We start from the raw sequence: 22,410 nt of genomic DNA, 5'->3' as shown, positions 1-22,410 counted from the left end.
AGAGTTTCTCTGCACAAGCTCTCTTTGCCTGCCACCATCCATGTAAGACGTGACTTGCTCCTCCTTGCCTTCTGCCATGATTGTGAGGCCTCCCCAGCCATGTGGAACTGTAAGTCCATTAAACCTCTTTTTCTCCCCAGTCTCAGTTATGTCTTTATCGGCAGCATGAAAATGAACTAATGAAAATGAATTAATACAAGGACCAGAACCATGCTGGCATCCTAATCTCACACTTTCAGTCTCCAGAACTGTGAGAAATAAATATTTATTATTTAAGGCACTCAGTCTATGACAATTTTTTTTATAGAAGCCAGAACTCATTGAGATATTTGGTAAGACAGGTAAGAATCTGTGCACATGTACAGTGGAGGCGTCAAGATAAATGCCTTCCTGCCCCATCCCCATCGTGAGGCAGAGACTACTCTCCAGATTGCCATAGCCAAGAACACAAGACTCTTTCTCCCCTCAGCATCTAGCTGGAAGGCTTCCTTCCCAGGAGGAGCAGGACTTTAGTGCCTCTCATCCTGCCCCCATCTTTCTGTTGTTGAGGCTACATCCCAGGTGAGTGGGGTCAAAAGGTAGAGGCTCCCTTGTTTTGCCCAACTTACACTCATGGAAAGGAGGCTCTACCTTGGGAATGGCACACTGAGAATACTTGAGGAAATGCAGGGAAATGCAAATAAAAACCGCAATGAGAACAACACTTCACACCTAATAAGATGGTTCTAATAAAAACAAAACAATGAAAAGAACAATGTGTTGAGGAGGATGTGGAAAAACTGGAACCTTCCTATATTCCTAGTGGAGATGTAAAATGGTGCAGGTGCCTTGGAAGATAGTCTGGCAGTACCTCAAAAGGTTAAACACTATATAACCCAGAAATCCACTCCTAGGAACACACCTAAGATATCTGAATGATGTAATTTATAGAAAACATCCAGAATAGGCATATCTATAACAACAGAAAGTAGATTAATCATTTCTAGGGGCTAGGAGTGGTAGTAAATGGGCACTGACTGGTAGTGGTTATGTGGTTCCTTTCTGAGGTGATAAATATATTCTGGAACTAACAGTGGTAACTGTTGTACAAGTTTATGAATGTAAGTCACTATAATGTCACTACAGGGGCATTGAATGTAAGAAGTCCATTGAATTGCATACTTTAAAAGGGTGAATTTAATGGTATATGAATTATATCTCAAAAAGACACAAGAGAAATAGTTTTTCACTTAGTCATTGCAGCTTAGGAAGTTGGAAATCACTTGGTCAGCCTCATGTAGTATCAACCAAAGACTAATATCTTACCTCAGTTCCTGTTTCTCTCCAATCCCAAGTCCGACTACCCCCTGGCCATACTTTGCAGTCCTTATAGGTTGTATTAGAGCCTTTTACTTTCATTTGCCCCCATGATAAGGAAGCAATTTCAGGGGAAGTCATAAGGAACTTCACTGAAGTCTGAAATTAAAAGAAAAATATACTAAATCAGTTATAAAGTAAGGCTGAAACAGTTTGAAAATACAGTGATACTAAGCCCTGATTCTCCATGATTTAAGAAGCATCTTTTCATTTACGTGGTTGTTACTTCTTCTTTAGAGGTCTAAAAAGTAACTATTATTCCTGGAATCCTGAATCATCCAACCATAGAAACCAGATACTGCAATTACTTATCAGGCTCCAGAGGGAATCCTTAGGATATTTTTGAGAGATAAAATTAAGAGATGAAGATTTACTTCAGCATGATGGAGTGAGGTTGACATATTCTCTCCCCAAGAAGAAACTATAAAGCTAGAAAAAAACTGTCAAAACCAAAAATTTGTCACTCTAGAAATAAAATTAAAGGCATATACCACAATCAGAGAAATGCTTATTCATGAAGATCGCTGAATTTCAGATAAGGACAATTTCTTTTTGTTGTTCTTGCCTGGAACAACCCCCATTCCACCACTCCAGTTCTGTTGTAAGTGAAGTTCAAGTAGGTTGGGGCAGAACATGAAAATGAACAGCCTTGCCGCCATGGCCAAAGGAGGCTTACTTGAGTTGGAGCCATTATCAGTTTAAAAAGGTGATCTCAGTGGCAAGCAAACATGGATAGAAGGTGGCTCTGCTTGCCTTATGTTGCCTTTTATTTGAGGCAAGCTATGGATTGGCAAACTAGGTGGGATTTAACAGGAATTTCCCAGGGATGACACAGCCACAGGGGGCTTTATAAGCTCTCTACATATCCCAAGTGGACCAGAGGCTGCAAGGATATGCATCAAAGATTTGGAAGATAGACCCAAGACACCCAAACATTCTGGGCTAATGGATCCTCAGCACATACACAGTGGATAAGCAAGAAGGTTCAAGAGGGCCTTGCAGAATGTAAAAGCCAGTGAAGACATACAACAGCTGGACTTTGAACGCACTCCCCTGTACACACAGTGTTCCATCAGTAGAGAGAGAAAGTCTTACTGCCTCAAGGTGTTTGAGCCAAATGTTTAATTAATGTTTGGCTGAACACTAAGCTATATACACACCAAGGAGAATCTTGGGAAACTGGGTTTAAGAATAAAATCAAGGAAAAAACTCTAACAGAACAGAGACTAAAGTAGACACATATTGCATGGGAGAATTCATAGATTTAGTTTAGTGCTATGGTTTGAATGTCTGCACCCTTCCAAACTCATGTTTAAATTTAACTGCCATTATAACAACATTAAGAGGTGGGACCTTTAAGAGCTGATTAGGCCATGAGGGTTCCACCCTCATGAATAGATTATGCTGTTATTGCAGGAGTAGTAGGTTCATTATAAAAGGACAAGTATGGCCCTCTCTTGGTGCTTCCACCATGTGATGACTTCCACTATAGGATGATGCAGCAAGAAGGCTCTCACCAGATGCGAGCCAACTGGTCTTGGACTTCCCAGCCTCCAGAACTGTGAGAAAAAAAATTATTTTCATTATAAATTTTAAATTACCCAGTTTCAGGTATTCAGTTATAGGAGCACAACATGGATTAAGCACAAAATGGATTAAGACATTTAGTATAGGCAAATGGCTAAACCCCCACACACAAATAAACAGAAGAACAACTTTCAGGGGGAAAAGTTGTTTCGCCAGGCTGGATGCCATCCACACTGTCCTACAATATGTTATCTAAAATGTCACTCTTCAACAAAAAATTACAAGGCATGCAAATAAACAAAAACTATGACCCACACTCAGTAAACTGAAACTGTTACCTGGGGCTGAGTGTGGTGGCTCATGCCTGTAATCCCAGCACATTGGGAGGCCAAGGTGGGAATTTCACTTGAGGCCAGAATTTCAAGACCAGCCTGGGTAACATAGGGATACCCAGTTTCTTTTATGTTTTTATTAGAATTTTATTTTTCTAATAGAAATACATTAAACACTTTTTTTTCTTTTGAGATGGAGTCTGGCTCTGTTGCCCAGGCTGGAGTGCAGTGGTGCGATCTTGGCTCACTGCAACCTCCACCTCCGGGGTTCAAGTGATTATCCTGCCTCAGCCTCCCAAGTAGCTGGGATTACAGGCATGTGCTACCATGCCCGGCTAATTTTTGTATTTTTGGTGGAGACAGGGTTTCACTATGTTGGCCAGGCTGGTCTTGGTCTCCTGACCTCAGGTGATCCACCTGCCTTGGCCTCCCAAAGTGCTGGGATTACAGGCGTGAGCCACTTAAAGATACTTTTAATTCAAAAGGTACTAAACAGTAGAAAGTGAAAGTTTCCTTGCTCCCATGAACCCCAGATACCTAGTTTTCATGTTTCTTTTCAAGGGTATATTGTGCATTAATCATTCAAATCCCTGGGTGTTGTGTGTGTGTGTGTGTGTGTGTTTACTGTCCCCCTCTCCATACTCTAATATTACAGAAATGATAACATGCTATCAACCCTGGTCTTTATTTTGCTTTTTTGCTTTCCAATATCTTGGAAATTGTTATATGCATGTAACATCTTTTTTACGTTCCAGGATACATGTGTAAGACATGCACGTTCATTACATAGGTACACATGTGCCATGGTGGTTTGCTGCACCTATCAACCCATCACCTAGGTATTAAGCCCCACATGGATTAGCTATTTATCCTGATGCTCTCCCTCCCCCTGACCCCCACCAGCAAGCCCCAGTGTGTGTTGTTCCCCTCCCTGTGTCCATGTGTTCTCATTGTTCAGCACCCACTTATAAGTGAGAACATGTGCTGTTCAGTTTTCTGTTCCTGTGTTAGTCTGCTGAGGATAATGGCTTCCAGCTCCATCTGTGTCCCTGCAAAGGACATGATCTTGTTCCCCTTTATGGTTGCATAGTATACCATGGTGTAGAGGTACCATATTTTCTTTATCCAGTCTATCACTGATGGGCATATGGGTTGATTCCATGTCTTCGCTATTGTAAACAGTGCTGCAATGAATATATGTGTGCATTTCTCTTTATAACAGAATGATTTATATTCCTCTGGGTATATACCCAGTAATGGGATTGGTGGGTCAAATGGCATTTCTAGTTCTAGGTCTTTGAGGAATTGCCCCACTGTCTTCCACAAAGGTTGAACTAATTTACATTTCCACCAATAGTGTAAAAGCATTCCTATTGGGAGACCTGGTTTCTACAAAAACAAACAAACAAAAAAAAGCCAAGTGTGTTGGCTTTGCACCTATAGTGCTAGCTACTCAGGAGGCTGAGGCAGGAGGATCACTTGAGCCCATGAGTTTGAGGCTGCAGTGAGCAATGATCTTGCCACTATACTCCAGCCTGGGTGACTGAGCAAGACTCTGTCTCCAAAAATTAATTAATTAATTAAAAAAGAAACTGTATCTGAGTAATTGAGTATTCTCAGAAGTCTGACATTTAGCAAAGACTTCAAAGAAAGTAGTATAAGGGAAATAAAGCACAAAGAAATAAACAAAAATATGGTAACAATGACTCAGCAAATACAGAATCTCAATAAGGAAACACTTCAAAAAGGAATAAAATGGAAATTCTAGCACTGGTAAGCACAGTAAGTAAAAGGTACTTGTATTGCTGGGCGCGGTGGCTCACGCCTGTAATCCCAGCACTTTGGGAGGCCCAGGTGGGCGGATCACGAGGTCAGGAGATTGAGACCATCCTGGCTAACACGGTGAAACTCCGTCTCTACTAAAAATACAAAAAAATAGCTGGGCGCAGTGGTGGGCGCCTGTAGTCTCAGCTACTCGAGAGGCTGAGGCAGGAGAATGGCGTGAACCCGGGAGGCGGAGCTTACAGTGAGCCCAGATAATGCCACTGCAGTCTGGCCTGGGCAAAAGAGCGAGACTCTGTCTCAAAAAAAAAAAAAAAAAAAGGTACTTGTATCAGTCAGGGTTATCCAGAGAAACAGAAGCAGATGACTATAAATATTGACAGACTTGTTTCAAAAAAGTGGCTCACAAAATTTTGGAGGCTGGCAAGTCCAAAATGTATAGATAATACTGGTAAGCTGCTCACCCTTGGGCAAGAGTTGTTATGGTACTGAGGCAGTATTTCTTCTTCAAGGAAACATCAGTTTTGCTTGGACTTTAAACTGATTGGAAGAGGCCAACTCAGTGTATCAAGGATATAATCTCATATATACACTAGTCTACTGACTGTAGATGTTAACCATATCTACAAGGTATGTTCACAGCAACACTTAGATTAGTATTTGATTAAATAACCGTACTATAACCTTACCACGTTGACACATAAAACTAACAGTCACAGTCTACATCTTGTCAATTTGGCACCTATATGTGTCTCCTTAACCATATTTAATCTCCAACTAAAGACGATTAGAAAGTCTTACTTCTGATTAACATTAATAACTAATAACCCATTTTTGCAAGTTCAACTTATTATTAATATCAAAGAGACAGTGTCTCATTCTTTCATCCAGTCTGGAGTGCAGTAGTGTGATCTTAGCTCACTGCAACCTCAAGCCCCTGGGCTCCAGTGATCTTCCCACCTCAGGCTAGTTCCTAGCTGGAACTAGAGGTGTGTGGCACCATATCCAGCTAATTTTGTAATTTTATTTATTTATTTATTTATTTTTAGAGCCAGGGTCTCACTATGTTGCCCATGTTGGTCTCCAAATCCTGGGCTCAAGCAATCTGTCTTCTCAGCCTCCCAAGTGCTTGCATTATAGGCATGAGCCACTGTGCCCAGGCTCAATTTCTGAATGTCCATCTAAAAAATAAGTACCTGAGGGCTGGGCGTGGTGGTTCATGCCTGTAATCCCAGCACTTTGGATGGCCAAAGCAGGTGGATCACTTGAGGTCAGGAGTTCAAGACCAGCCTGGCCAACATGGTGAAACCCTGTCTCTACTAAAAATACAAAAATTAGCCGGGCGTAGTGATGCACACCTGTAGTCCTATCTACCCGGGATGCTGAGGCAGGAGGTGGAGGTAACAATGAGCCAAGATCGCACCACTGCACTCCAGCCTGGGTGACAGAGCGAGACTCCATCTCAAAAACAAACAAACAAACAAACAAACAAAAACCAAAGGGACGGGCGCAGTGGCTTACATCTGTGATGCCAGCATTTTGGGAGGCCGAGGCAGGCGGATCACGAGGTCAGGAGTTAAGAGACCAGCCTGGCCAACGTGGTGAAACCCTGTCTCTACTAAAAATAACAAAAATTAGCTGGGTGTGGTGGCGGGTGCCTGTAATCCCAGCTACTCGGTAGACTGAGGCAGGAGAATCATTTGAACCTGGGAGGTGGAGGTTGCAGTGAGCTGAGATCGTGCCACTGCACTCCAGCCTGGGTGACAGAGCGAGACTACGTCTCAAAAAACAAGCAAGCAAACAAACAAACAAAAAACTCAAACAAAAAACAACACAGAAGTTCAATATATTGTTATGGGTGCTATGGAAGGAAGATACAAATTCATAAAACATGATTCCTGTTTTTGAGGATCTAATACTACAGTAGAGAAGACAAACACATATAATTACAAGGTAACTTTTTCTTTTTTTGAGATGGAGTTTCGCTCTTGTTGCCCAGGCTGGAGTGCAATGGCGCGATCTTGGCTCACCGCAACCTCCGCCTCCCGGGTTCAAGCGATTCTCCTGCCTCAGCCTCCTGAGAAGTTAGGATTACAGGTGCCCACCACCATGCCCAGCTAATTTTGTATTTTTAGTAGAGATGGCGTTTCTCCATGTTGTTCAGGCTGGTCTCGAACTCCCAGCCTCAGGCGATCCACCCGCCTAGGCCTCCCAAAGTACTGGGATTACAAGCGTAAGCCGCTGCGCCCGGCCACAGGGTAACTTCTTAAGAAAAAACAAAGTAACTTTTAAAAAGTGATATAAGGAGAGACATAACGAGTATGTTTTGAGGATTTCTTTATTAGTCTGATAGGGCTTCCATTACAAAATACCACAGACTGCGTGTCTTAAACAATAGAAATTTATTTTCTCACACTTCTGGAGACCAGAAGTCCAAGATCAAGGTGCCAATAGGATTGGTTGGTTTATGGCGAGGCCTTTTTGGCTTGGAAATGGATGCCTTTTGCTGTTTTCTCACATGGCTTTTTCTGCTTGCATGGGCACACCTGCTATCTCTTTCTCTTTTTATAAATTCACCCATCCTATTAGATTAGGGCCTGACTCTTATGATCTCATTTAATTTTAACTACCTCCTTGAAGACCCTATCTCTAACTACAGTCGTTTTTGGGGTTAGGGCTTCAATGTATGAAGTTGGTGGGGAGGGCACATTCAGTCCACAGCAATTTCTAAGTAAGAAATTAAATAAATATGTTTGAGGAAATAGTATTTGAACTGGGTCTTAAAATTCAATTGAGAAAAAAAGGAATATTTATTGGGAACCTACTATGTACCAGATATTTTAGATCTGTTATCTCAACAACATCAAGATTGGAGAGTGGTTAAGAACTTTGTTCCAAGTTATATAGCTAATAAGTGAGAAAATGAGAATTTGAATCCAAGTCTGTCTGACTCTACAGCATGTATTCTTCAATTCACTTTGCCATTCTACTCCAACTTTATTTTTATTATTATTTTTTTTTTCTTTTTTGACACAGAGTCTCACTCTGTCACCCAGGCTAGAGTGCAGTGGCATGATCTCGGCTCACTGCAACCTCCAAGTGATTCTTGTGCCTCAGCCACCCTTGTAGCTGGGATTACAGGTACATGCCACCACGCCTGGTTAATTTTTTGTATATTTTGGTAGAGACAGGGTTTCGCCATGTTTGCCAGGCTGGTCTCAAATTCCTGATCTCAAGCGATCCGCCCACCTCAGTCTCCCAAAGTGCTGGGATTACAGGCGTGAGCCACCACGCCTGGCCCCAACTTTAGACTCAACAACTATTAAATAAGGAAATGCATAGGAAAATTATAGAATTTATTATTAGGAAAACAACTTCCTGGGAGATAAAATGTCACTGCTGCTTTTTTGGGAGTATCAACGAGGAAGATGAGTCTGATTTAGAAAATAAACCATAATCACTATGAGTTAAACATACCCCAAAGCATAGTGGCTTAAATAAGACAAAGTTTAAAGTCTGGAGGTAGTCAACATACGGCAGGTATAGTAGTTATCCCAAAGTCTAGGAATTAGGTGGCTTCCAGGTTTCAGCCTCACAGTCTTGATGATGAGGACTTCACTCTCATAGTTTAATATGGAGCTCTGGCGATCACATCCATGTTCCAAGCAACAGAATAAAGAGATAAAGTGGGACGGGGCAAAGGGTATATGTCTGGTGTCCTTTAAGAAATTTCCTGAAAGGTTTCAGAGAATACTTCTGTTTGCATGTTATTTGCTAGAATACAGTCATGTGGTCACACTCAATTGCAAACAATGCTAGATCTATCTGTTCTAAGAGGCAATGTGCCCAGCTTAAAAGTAGAGATTTCAAGGGGAGAATATGTATTAAGGAAGTACTAGTCTCCAAAATAATTATTTATCCTTATAAATCAGATTTTTGTTGTTACTTTTTTTATAAAAATATGGATACCCTTCGGACTACTCTGGTTTAGCTCATGAGATAATATTCATTTTTTTAACTTCTGTATTCCACTCTCAGTATTAATTATCAATAATGTTACAGTTTGAGTGGTAAAGGTGAGATTTGAAACTAAAGCCATCAGATGTCAAAAGTTATGTCCTTTCCATTATACCTCCTTATCTTGATACTAGAAACATTCTTCTGCAAGTACTTATTCAGTCTTTTCCTAGCCATTTGAATTACCCTTAAAATCCATTTTCTTGGCCAGGCGCAGTGGCTCACGTCTGTAATCCCAGAACTTTGGGAGGCCAAGGTGGATGGATCACCTGAGGTCAGGAGTTCGAGATCAGCCTGACCAACATGGTGAAAACCCATATGTACCAAAAATACAAAAATTAGCTGAACGAGGTGGTATGTACTTGTAATTCCAGCTACTCAGGAGGCTGAGGCAGGAGAATCACTTGAACCTGGGAGGAGGAGGTTGCAGTGAGCCGAGACTGCATGACTCTGTCTCAAAAAAAAAAAAAAAAAAAAACAAAATCAACTTTCTCCATGAAATTCATCATAAAAGATGTAATGGTTTCCTCATGCCCTTCTCAGTTTGATAATAAAATCATAATTAAGAGATTCTCTGATCTTCATTATGTGTTTACTTCTGTAGAAACTTTGCATCTTCTAATTTCTTCAAAACCACCTAAAGTGTTTAGTTCATTGTTGGGAATGCAACCATTGCTTCCCTAACCATTAAGTGAGTTTGTTTACCATTTGTATTTGTTGATATGTAATTTACATTTTATTCATTGAATTAGTATTTATAATCTTGGTTTGTGTATGGAGTATATATGAATCTGCATGACTATGTCTAGGATTATAAGATTTAAAGCACCATAAAAAACAGACATATAATGGGACACTTTTTCTGCTGTTGACAACTTTACTTAATATATGGTGGTAACTAGTTTCAAAAGCAGTTTTCTTCATCTACAGTTTGAATTTGCTTTCAGTTGCCTTTTCAATTTATTTCTGTTCAAGAAACATTTTTGAGCTTCTAACATGTATAACTCTTTGTGCTAAGAGCTGGCAGAATAAATAATTAGGAAGGTAGAATTACTCAAAAATAAATGGAATCATTTCATGACCTCAAGAAGAAATGTCAAAATCTAGATGGAATGATAGATAAGTATTAATATACGATTAACTGTAATACAAAACAGATTGTGCTAAGTCCAGGGTGAGTAGAGAATTTTAATGTTAGGTATTGATAAACATTCTAATAGGTACAAATGAAGTACAAGGGGATATTAGTGGGAATAGTGATTAACTCTGAGAAGATTCATAGAGCAGGAGTCCCCAACCCCTGGGTACAGGCCTGCTACCAGTCCGTGATCTGTTAGGAACTGGGCTGCACAACAGGAGGTAAGCAGCAGGTGAGTGAGCGATACTTTGTCTGTATGTAAGCCACTTCCTGTGGCTCACATTACTGCCCGAGCTCTACCTCCTGACACATCAGCAGCAGCATTAGATGATCATAGATGCGTGAACCCTATTGTGAACTGCACATGTGAGGGATTTAGGTTGCACAGTCCCTTATGAAAATCTAATGCCTGATGATCTGTCACTGTCTCCCATCACTCCCAGATGGAACCATCTAGTTGTAGGAAAACAAGCTCAGGGCTCCCACTGATTCTGTATTATGGTCAGTTGTATAATTATTTCATTATATACTACAATGTAATAATAATAAAAATAAACAGCCTGGCCAACATGGCGAAAACCCCATCTCTACTAAAAATGCAAACATTAGCTGGGTGTGGTGGTGAATGCCTGTAGTCCCAGCTACTCCAAAGCCGAGGCAGGAGAATTGCTTGAACCTCGGAGATTGAGGTTGCACTGATATGAGATCTGCCATTGCACTCCAGCCTGGGTGACAGAATGAGACCCTGTCTCAAAAAAAAAAAAAAAAAAAATATATATATATACACACACACACACACACACACACACACACACACACACACACACACATATATATATACAATAAAGTGCACAATAAATGTAATGAGCTTGAATCATCCTGAAACCATCTCTGTCCTGGTCTGTGGAAAAACTGTCTTTCACAATACTGGTCCCTTGTGCCAAAAAGGTTAGGGACTGCTGTTACAGAGCACAAATGGACTGAATTCTTCTTTGACAACATCACTATAAGCCTGGGTATACAAAAAATTTCAGCAGGCAAATATGGGGAAAACTGGGGAGTAGGAGGACTTTTTTTTTTTTTTCTTAAAACAGAGGGTACTACATGACAAAATACTGGAAATACATTTGAAGAATAAATATAAAAGTTCCTCTATGGCCAGGCGCGGTGGCTCATGCCTGTAATCCCAGTACTTTGGGAGGCTGAGGCGGGTGGATCACCTGAGGTCCGGAGTTTCAGACCAGCCTGACCAACATGGAGAAACCCTGCCTCTGCTAAAAATACAAAATTAGGTGGGCATGGTGGCGCATGCCTGTAATCCCAGCTACTGGGGAGGCTGAGGCAGAAGAATCGCTTGAACCCGGGAGGCGGAGGTTGCAGCGAGCCGAGATCACACCATTGCACTCCAGCCTGGGCAACAAGAGCGAAACGCCGTCTCAAAAAAAAAAAAAGTTCCTCTATTTGTGAAGTTTCATTTTTTATAAACTTATAAACTCAAAGAATAAATTTATATATGAGAATCAACCCTGCCAGAAATATATGATGTTGATGGTTTTTGTGTATTGCCACTTCCAAACCTATAATTGTAAGTACAGTTAACTATTGTCAGTGTGATTATAGTGCATGATGTAGCTGGAGAGGTAGATTGAGTTCAGATTATGGTGGATATCATAGGTATGTCAAGAGATTTGGACTTTAGAGAAAATGAAGTCACAAGATGTTTGTCAACAGAACAGTGACATAATTTCATACAAGATTTAAAAAGATACCTGGCCAGGCGTGGTGGCTCATGCCTGTAATCCCAGCACTTCTGAGAGGCCGAAGTGGGTGGATCACTTGAGGTCAGGAGTTCAAGACCAGACTGGCCAACATGGTGAAACCTCATCTCTACTAAAAAAAAAAAAAAAAAAAAAAAAAAATTAGCCAGGCATGGTGGCACATGTCTGTAATCCCAGCTACTTGGGAGACTGAGGCACGAGAATCACTTGAAACTGGGAGGCAGAGGTTGCAGTGAGCCAAGATCGTACCACTGCACTCCAGCCTGGGTGACAGAGTGAGACCCTGTCTCAGAAAAAAAAAAAAAAAAAGATACCTAAGTAATGTGAAAGGTGGCTGCTTCTTTCATGTTGTGTGGAAGAAATTACATCCCATAGTAAGCATGGCTTGGGAGAGTAAAATCAAGAAGGTAAGGGTAGAGCAGGGTGTATTAAGATTGGTTCTCAGAACACCAGAATGATAATCACATCATGTGCTTGCAGATACCTAGGCTCCAACAGAGATCTACTAAGTAAGAATTTCAAGGAGTAGCCAAAGAATCTGTATTAAACAGCTAATGGCCATTGGGTTGTCTCCAATTTTTGACATTAGAAACAATGCTTGTTATGAACATTTATGTAAAAATTTTTTCATGGACATATGCTCATTTTTCTTGGGTATAGCTAGGAAAGGAACTGCTGGTTCAAGTAACTTTATGTTTATCATTTTGAGGAGCTATCAGACTGTTACATAGCAGATCCACAACTTTGCAATTCCACTAGCAGTGATGAGGGTTCTGCTTTCTCCATATCCTTGTCAACACCAATTTCAAACCATCATTGTGGGTGTGAAGTGGTATTTTTTTCCTTCTTTCTTTTTTCTGAGACAGGGTCTTGCTTTGTTGTCCAGACTGGAATGCTGTGACATGATTACAGCTCACTGAAGCCTCGACGAATTCTCCCATCTCAGCTTCTCAAGTAGCTGGGACTACAGGTGCATGCCACCATGTCTGGCTATTTTTTTTTTTTTTTTTTTTTTTGGTATATTTTGTAGAGACAGGGTCTCGCCATGTTTCCCAGAATGGTCTCAAACTCCTGGACTCAAGCAATTCTCCCACCTCAGTCTCCCAAAGTGATGGGATTACAGGTATGAGCCACTGTGCCCAACCATAAAGTGCTATTTCATTGTGGTTTTCATTATTTATTTCTTGATGATCAATGATGTTGAGTATCTTTTCATTTGCTTGTTGGCTATTTGTATATTTTCTTTGGTGAAATGCCAATTATTTGTCTTTTTTATTATTGACATGTGTTTTTGTAGAGCACCCAATCCTGTTGCTGTTTGGGGTGCCACTGTGTAACCCACACGGACCTATGGGACTGAATAAAGGGGGGCAAACGCGGGAATAAAAGACAAGAGACAAAAGAGTATATTTGGAAGAAGGGGTCGGGGGCACCTTGCCTCTAGTGGACAAGGGCCCTGAGCTTTACACAGCCCTCCATATTTATTAGGCAAAAGAGATAGCAAGAAGTGGAGGTGGGTGGGGGGTGGGTGTCGTCAGCAGTTTGATTCACGGCAGGTTTGTAAGACTGCATTCTTCAAACAATAGGCGCTAGATTTCTCAATAGATAACTTTAAGGAGCCCACTGCCAGGGAGTGAGGCCCTCAGCAAACCTTTTGGTGGCAGGGCAGTATCAGTTTGCCCACATTCTGCATTCATGATAAACAGTTTGCTGTTTGATCATATAGCCTCCAGCGGAATGCTTAGTTGGTCATGATCCCTTTGGCCTTTTGAGCTCCCAACATGTTTTTAACATATTCTAGATGAATCTCTTACTGGATGTATTTTTTCCTATTTTGTAGGTTGTCTTTTGACTTTCTTTTCTTTTCTTCTTTTAGGTACAGGGTCTTGCTCTGTTGCCTAAGCTGGAGTGCAATGGCACAATCAGCTTACCACAGCCTCAAAATCCTGGGCTCAAGTGATTTTCCCACCTCAGGCTCCTGAGCAGCTAGGACTACAGGTGTGCATCACCATGTCTGGCTATAAAAAAGAATTTTGTAGAGATGGGGTCTCACTATGTTTCCCAGGATGGTCTCAAATTCCTGGCCTCAAGTGATCCTCCGGCCTTGGTCTCCAAAAGTGCTGGGATTACAAGCATGAACAACTGTGCCCAGACTTGATTTTCTTTCTTAAGCCCCACATTTGAACTGATGGTCTTGACTTTTTGATACATGTTTTTGTAAAGCACACAAGTTTTTAATTTTGATGAGGTCTATTAATTTATTTTTCCTTTTGTTGCTTGTGGATTTGGTGTTATTTCTAAGAATCCATTGCCATATCCAAGGTCTTAAAGATTTACCCTTGTTTTCTTCTAAGAGTTTTAGTTTCAGGTCTCACAAATGTAGTCGTCTGAAACATTCTGAATTATTTATATGGAATGAATTAGGGGTTCAACTTCATTCTTTTCTATGTGGATCTCCAGTTTTCTCAGCATCATTTGTTGCAAAAACTATTCTTTCCCCATTAGATGGTCTTGGTATGTTTATTTTAAATCAATTTACTCTAGATGTATAGGTTTATATGTGAGTCTCCATTCTGTTCCATTGACCCAAATGGCTATTTGTTATTCAGCCTGACTACTATAAAAAATACCATAAATTGGTAACTTAAACAACAAAAATTTATTTTTCACAGTTCTGGAGCTGGCATATCCAAGATAAGGTGCTGGCCTGACTGGTATCTCGTGAGGGCTTTCTCCTTGGGTTGGAGATGTCTGCCATCTCTCTGTGTCTTCACATGGCCTCTCCTTGGCATATGCATGTGAAGAGAAAGAGCTCTCTCTCTATTTCTGTTCTTATAAAATTACCAGTTCTATCACATTAGGGCCCCACCCTCATGACATTGTTTAACTTTAGTTAACTCCTTCCTATAGGCATTATCTCTAAATACAGTCACATTAGGGGTTAGGGCTTCAACATATGAATCTGGGGGAGACACAGTCTGTCATATGCCATTACTACACACAATCTTGATTACCGTAGCTGTGTAGTAACTTTGGAAGCCAGGAAGTGTGAGTCCTTCAACTTTGTTCATCATCTGAAAAACTGTTTTGGATATTCTGGGTTCTCTGAATTTCCATATTAGTATTAGGATCAACTTGTCAATTTCTGCAAAGAAGCCAGCTGGAATTTTGATGGAGAGTGAATCTGTGGAATCTGTACTTCAACTTAAAGGTATTGGCATCTTATCAATATTAAATCTTCCAATCCATGAATATGTGTTTTCTTCCCATGTACGTCTTTTAAAATTTCCTTGAACAATGTTTTATAATTTTCTTTCTTTTTTTTTTTTTTTTCGAGATGGAGTCTCACTCTGTTGCCCAGGCGCAGTGCAGTGGTGCGATCTTGGCTCACTGCAAGCTCCACCTCCCGGGTTCACGCCATTCTTCCGCCGCAGCCTCCCGAGTAGCTGGGACTACAGGCGCCCACTACCCCACCCGGCTAATTTTGTTTTTGTATTTTTAGTAGAGATGGGGTTTCACCATGTTAGCCAGGATGGTCTCGATCTCCTGACCTTGTGATCCATCTGCCTCGGCCTCCCAAAGTACTGGGATTACAGGTGTGAGCCACCGCACCCGGCTATAATTTTCATTCTTGTATTTCTTTTTAAGAAATCTCTAAATATTTTCTGATTCTATTGTAAATGGAGTTATTGATATCATTTTTTTGCTGTTTGTGTATTTTGTTTTTTTGAGACAGAGTTGCGCTCTGTCACCCAGGCTGGAGTGCAGTGGTGCAATTTTGGCTCACTGCAACCTCTGCCTCCCAAGTTCAAGTGATTCTCCTGCCTCAGCCTCCCTAGTAGCTGGGATTACAGGTGCGCATCACCATGCCCAGCTAGTTTTTTGTATTTTTTAGTAGAGATGGAGTTTCACCATGTTGGCCAGGCTGGTATTGAACTCCTGGCCTCAAGTGATCCACCTACCTCGCCTCCCAAAGTGCTGGGATTACAGGCAGGAGCCACTGTGCCTGGTCTGATTTCATTTTTGGATTGTTCATTGCTAATGTACAGAATAACACAGGATTTTTGAGTATTTATCTTGTATCCTGCAAATGTGCTTGCCTATTTGTTCTAATAGCTTTATTTGTGGATTCTTTAGGATTTCCTACATACAAGATCAGTAATTTAAGATAGAGCTTGTTTTACTTCTTCCATGCCAATCTGGATGCCTTTTATTTTTTTCTTGACACATTGCACTGGCTACAACCTCCAGTATAATATTAAATGTAAGTGGATATAGCAAACATCCTTGTCTTGTTCCTGACCTTAGGAGGGAGGAATTAGTTTTCAGCATTCCATATATTAGGCATGGGTTTTTCATAATGCTCTTAATCAGGCTGAAAAAGTTCCCTTCTCTTCCTAGTTTATTATTTTTAACATGAAAGAATATTGAATTTTGTCAAATGAGTTTTCTGCATCTATTGAGATGACTATGTTGTTTCTTTTATTCTGTAAATATATTACAATATATTGATTTTTAGATTTTAAGCCAATATTGCATAGTTGGGATGAATCCCACTTGTTTATGGTGTATAATCCTTTTTATATGTGGTTGGAACTGGTTTGCTAGTATTTAATTGAGGATTGCTGTGTTTGCTAGATTCACATGAGGTATTGGGCTTTCCTTGTGATATTTTTCTCTATCTTGCTACTAAGGAAAATCTGTCCTCACAGAATAAGTTGGGAAGTGTTCCCTCTCTTCTAGTTTTTGGTATGAATTTGTGAAGCATTGGTATTGATTCCTATTTCAACTTTTGGTAGAACTGACCATGAAGCCATCTGAATCTGAGCTTTTTTTCTTTTCTGAGGGGGGCGGGGCCAGGGGCAAATTTCAAATTCCCAATTCGATTTTTTTTTTTTTTGAGACGAGTTTCGCTCTGTCACCCAGGCTGAAGTGCAGTGGCCCCATCTCAGCTCACTGCAACCTCTGCCTCCTGGGTTCAAGTGATTCTCCTGCCTCAGCCTCCTGCGTAGCAGGGACGACGGGTGTGTGCCACCACACCCGGCTAATTTTTGTATTTTTAGTAGAGATGGTGTTTCACTATGTTGGCCAGGCTGGTCTCGAACTTCTGACCTCAGGTGTTCTGCCCACCTCGGCCTCTCAAAGTGCTGGGATTACAGGCATGAGCCATTGCACCCAGCTCCAATTCAGTATTTTTACTTATTATGGGTTCATTCAGATTTTCTAGTTGTTCTTGAGTGAGTTTCCATAGTTCATGTTATTCTAGAAATGTGTTCATTTCATTGAGATTATCTGATTTGCAGGCATACAGTTATAGGGTCTGGTGTGTCTGTTTCAAAGGTTCGGTTGCTGGGTGTTGTTGGAGACAGACTGGCTAGCCAGTGTAGCAGGAGTGTACTTGGGAGGCTCAGGGTAGCGACTATGCTGCAACTGGCATGTAAATACAGTATCTTAACAGTTTAACAGTCAGTACAGCCTTTCTGGTTCATACAAGTGAATATCAGGCCTTGCTGTATAGGATGTCAAACTGCCGATGATTATCCCTGTTCTGAATTATTTAATAATAAAAATTTAAAACACAGACACATAGCTAAAAGACATAAAACATAATAATACAGGCTGTCCCCCATCTTTTTTTTTTTGAGATGATGTCTCACTCTGTCACCCAGGCCAGAGTGCAATGGTGTGATCTTGGCTCACTGCAACCTCTGCCTCCTGGGTTCAAGTGATTCTCCTGCCTCAGCCTCCCGAGTAGCTGGGACTACAGGCATGCACCACCATGCCCACCTAATTTTTGCATTTTTAGTAGAGACGAAGTTTCACCATGTTGACCAGGCTGGTCTTGAACTCCCACCTCGGCCTCTCAGAGTGCTGAGATTATAGGCATGAGCCACTGCTTCTGGCTACCCGCTCATTTTTCTTTTCAGTAAAAATCTTTACTCCATCGGAGAAACCAATCTTAGCCAGGCTTGTCAGAGAATAGACTCATGCATAAGTCTCAAAAAAAGATGGGTAGTAAGACGGTGGCTCACGCTTGTAATCCCAGCACTTTGGGAGGCCGAGGTGAGCAGATCATCTGAGGTCAGGAGTTTGAGACCAGCCTGGCCAACGTAGTGAAACCCCATCTCTACAAAAAATACAAAAATTAGCCGGATGTAGTGGCACTTGCCTGTAATCCCAGCTACTTGGGAGGCTGAGGCAGGAGAATCACTTGAACTTAGGAGGCAGAGGTTGCAGTGAGCCTAGATCGTGCCACTGCACTCCAGCCAGGGCGACAGAGTGAGACTGACTCAAAAAAAAAAAAACAAAAAAAATGGGTAGTAAGACACTTCTAAAGGTGTCTTCTTCAATGAATAGAATTCTGTTGTAACACAGAATTCAGTTATCAAGACAAATATCCAGAAAATGGTTGGTTTACATCTTGTTTGTATTAGGGCTTCCTTTTATTTTCATACATCTTCTTATTAAACTATCTCAAAGAGTAGAGATTCCTATTTCTGTTGACACTTAATAGCTTTTTCACTACATGTAATATTAAGTCCATATACCTTCAGCTTTTTTGAACCACCGTGCGCAGCTTGTTTTAGCTTTTTTAAAGTGAGTTTTAGATAAACCTAATTTGCTCATCCTTGATTAGGAATTCCCCAAATTGGCTCTAAAATGGAATTCAGTTTGCCTCAATATACATTTACTGAGCTTATAATATCCATTAAAAAAAAAGCAGCCAGGCCTGGTGGCTCATGCCTGTAATCCCAGCACTTTGGGAGGCTGAGGTGAGCAGATCACAAGGTCAGGAGATCGAGACCATCCTGGCTAACATGGTGAAACCCCGTCTCTACCAAAAATACAAAAAAAATTAGCCGGGCATGGTGGCAGACGCCTGTAGCCCCAGCTACTCGGGAGGCTGAGGCAATAGAATGGCGTGAAACCAGGAGTCGGAGCATGCAGTGAGCTGAGATCGCGTCACTGCACTCTAGCCTGGGTGATAGAGTGAGACTCTGTCTCAAAAAGAAAAACAACAACAACAAAAAAACTATGTAACAAATGCAAAGATAACATATGAAGGAGACAGAAATGTGTATAAATTTGTATAAAAGGCAGACTGGTACCAATGCTAATTGGGATTATATAGGAATAAACCATTAACTTCTAAAATTGAAGCATAATTGCATTGCATTTAGTTGAATGCAGTGTTTATAGAGTTCAATGAATTTTGAGAAATAAACTTGCCAATCAAGATATAGAAACTATCTACAAAGTCCCCTTGTGCCCCTTTCTAGTCAATACCCTTCCAAGCTCAAAGGAAACAACTACTTTGATTTCTATTGCCACAGATTAGTTTTGACCTTCATATTGATGGAATTGTACAGTACCTAACTCTTTTGTGTCTGCCTTCTTTTACTCAACATGTTTTTAAGATTCACCCAGGCTGTAGTGTATATCAACAGTGTGTATTACTCTGAGTAGTATATCACAATTTATATTTTTCTGTTGATGAATATTTGTGTTGTTTTTGACTTTTTGGTATTTTTAATAAATTAGCCGTTAATTCTAATTGAGCAAAATATTTCCCCCTAATAGGACATGAAATTTGAAATATCTTAAGAAATTTCTTATTCATAAACAAAGTTGAACCAAGTGTAACTTAATGCTTATTTAAAGGCCTCTTCATGGCAGTAGCAATAAATCAAATACAGGTTTTAAAAATAGCTACTCTTTTTTGCACCTTTACATTCCAGTCTGATAAATATAACTCACTTATATAACTACATAAATTGTCGTTAAGCTCTGTATTCCACAATTTCTCTTAGCCCAGGAAAGCAAGAAGTGATGATAGCATTATGGGTGTGTGTCATTTATTTTCAAGAACAGACTTTAGTGAAGGAAGGCATGCTTAAACCTTGCTTTGTAGCAAAACACTTCTTATCTTTGGGTGGATATAACTTTCTGATGCCAAAGGACTCTGTTTCCCTGCCGATCTAGATTAGAAAAGGCAGAAACTCTAACCTTTATTTATCAGTCTGTTTGACTAACAGTGTGAGCAGTGAGAAAAGAAAACTATAGTAATAAAGCTTTTTTTTTTTTTTAGAATGTTATTTCACAACCTCACTGGAATGTGGGAAGTGAAGTGCTGCAAAAGCTAGAAGCAAAGATAGAAAGTACAGGCAAGGTTCACATAATAAATCTTCCTTTTAGGTTTGAAGGTTCTTTCCATAGAAATTCCTTCACAAAGATACAATTTTATTTTAAAATATCCTGTACCTGGCTTTTATTTAAGGTCAGTTAAGTAACCAGTATATGAAAGTCTTTGTATGTTTCCACAAAACTGTTGTTAAAACTGTATTCTGGGTCAAATTATTCTTTTTTTTTTTTTTTTTTTTTGAGACAGGGTGTAGTTCTGTCGCCCAGGCTGGAGTGCAGTGGCAACTACATGGGATTACAGATGAGGTCTCACTACCTTGCCCAGGCTGGTCTCGAACTCCTTGGCTCAAGGGGTCCTCCTGCTCGGCCTCCCAGAGTGCTTGGATTACAGGCATGAGCCACCCCACCTCGCCCAGATTATTTTTAAACTGGAGTCTTCAGGTCCCCAGGGTCAAGAGATATACACTTGCCCGTTTGGGAATTCTATAAAAATGTTTTAGTTTAGTTTTGTGTTTCATTTCAGTAATTGCTTAAAAACAATATTTTCCGACTTATTAAATTAAAACTTCTTTGGCAGTGATAATTCATAACCATAAAGATATTTTCCTGAAGTAGGATTTTAATTTCTTTTTTTTTTTTTTTTTTTTGAGACGGAGTCTTGCTCTGTCGCCCAGGCTGGAGTGCAGTGGCACAACCTTGGCTCACTGCAAGCTCCGCCTCCCGGGTCCATGCCATTCTCCTGCCTCAGCCTCCCGAGTAGCTGTCTACAGGGGCCCGCCGCCACCACGCCCGGCTAATTTTTTGTATTTTTAGTAGAGACGGGTTTCACCGCGTTAGCCAGGATGGTCTTGATCTCCTGACCTCGTGACCCGCCCGTCTCGACCTCCCAAAGTGCTGGGATTACAGGCGTGAGCCACAGCGCCCGGCGGATTTTAATTTCTTAAAAGCTTTTTTATTGTCGTAAAATACATGTAACATAAAATATGCCATTTTAACCACTTTAAGTGTATACTTCAGTGGCATTAAGTACATTTACAGTGTTCTTTAGACTTTGATTTCTTACATCAGTATTTCTTACAGTGAAATTTTCAAAAGTATTTGCCAAGTTTCAAAAGAACTTTTTTCCTTTAAAAACGGTTTGTATACCACTCAAGACTATGAATCACTATTCAAGGCAATAAATTCTTCTTACAATATAGAATTTTTCTCTTGATAAATTGAGTATTCTTTCTTTAGATAATGGGAATAATACACACCCTTATGGTTTTTCCCCTTTTTAAAACCTGGAAATGAAGAAAAAAATTCGGTGTTTGTGTGACCATTTTCCCTGTTACTCATATAATTATTTGCCCATCTATTTCTTATCTTTCTATAATTACAGATTTCTCTTTTTTACATGGTTTGTGTTGTACCTTGCTTCAAATTCTTTTTTTTTTTTTTTTTTTTTGAGGTGGAGTCTTGCTCTGTCGCTCAGGCTGGAGTGCAGTGGCGCGACCTCGACTCACTGCAACCTTCGCCTCCCCGGTTCAAGGGGTTCTCCTGCATCAGCCTCCCAAGGATTCCCGGCTAATTTTCGTTATTTTTACTAGAGACGGGGTTTCACCATGTTGCCCAGGCTGGTCTGGAACTGCAGAGCTCAGGTGATGCACCCACCTCGGTTTCCCAAAGTGTTGGGATTACAGGCATGAGCCACCGCGCCCGGCCAAATTCTTTTTAGGAATTAGGTACTACATTGAGTTTTAAATGCACTCAGAAAATTCTCAAAGTAATAAATTATAGACTAAATAAATATAGCGGAATTCAGTCTAAATTATAGGAACTCCTTTTTTGATAACTAATATTTTTAAAGTACTCACTATGTGCTACGGCACTGTGCTAATCACTTTACTGTGATTTATCTAGTAATACCGTATGATGTAGGTACTATTATCACCCCACTCTAAGGAGTTCAAAGAAATAAAGAAACCTCCACAGTGTCATGAAGTAGCCCCGCTAGGACTCAGGCCTGGCTGAATCCAAAGCTCAGGCTTCTAAGCATAACGTGTACTGCTGCTTCTCAGGCTGCACATTCTATTTTACATTATTGGTAGTTTCTCTCTGGCGTTCTTTGTGGGAATGTTCACTGCCCCCGCCCCGCCCCGAAGTGGAACCCTGTCTTCTAACAAACTTTTCGCTGCTCCACCGTCTCCTGTCATGTTCCGCCTCTCAATGGAGTCCCAGCCCACACTCCGATTCTGGTCCCTGAACAGAGCCCCTTCCCCTCACACCATGGCCCCCTAGCAGAGCCTGGTCTCCTCAGATCCTCTTCTCCCAGCAGGGCCCCAACTCCTCACTCCGA

General features: G+C 40.7%; 2 protein-coding genes across 26 annotated transcripts in view; one reads left to right on the top strand and one right to left on the bottom strand.

Moving 5' to 3' along the window:
- The window catches only part of RSF1 (remodeling and spacing factor 1), a 212,224-nt gene that overhangs the window by 28,299 nt on the left and 161,515 nt on the right, over positions 1-22,410 (top strand). The window lies entirely within an intron of this gene.
- AAMDC (adipogenesis associated Mth938 domain containing) overlaps positions 1-22,410 on the bottom strand; it is an 84,881-nt gene that overhangs the window by 62,091 nt on the left and 380 nt on the right. For 9 of the 25 annotated variants that reach the window (NR_171643.1, NR_133637.3, NM_001392068.1 and 6 more), the window contains exon 2: positions 1,306-1,455. Coding sequence is in view for 21 of the 25 variants with exons in the window: in NM_001392068.1 (NP_001378997.1) it covers positions 1,306-1,437 (132 nt within the window). In the remaining 4 variants the exon portion in view is untranslated. Of the gene's footprint in view, positions 1-1,305; positions 1,456-2,709; positions 2,916-11,921; positions 12,040-22,410 lie in introns of those variants that run through there. The other 16 variants (NR_171640.1, NM_001316958.3, NM_001316957.3 and 13 more) reach the window with 5 other exon arrangements.

This window comes from Homo sapiens, chromosome 11, assembly GCF_000001405.40.
Source record: "Homo sapiens chromosome 11, GRCh38.p14 Primary Assembly".
NCBI lineage: Eukaryota > Metazoa > Chordata > Mammalia > Primates > Hominidae > Homo > Homo sapiens.
Note: the sequence above shows the minus strand (reverse complement) of the source record. Positions and strands in the feature narration are given on the sequence as shown.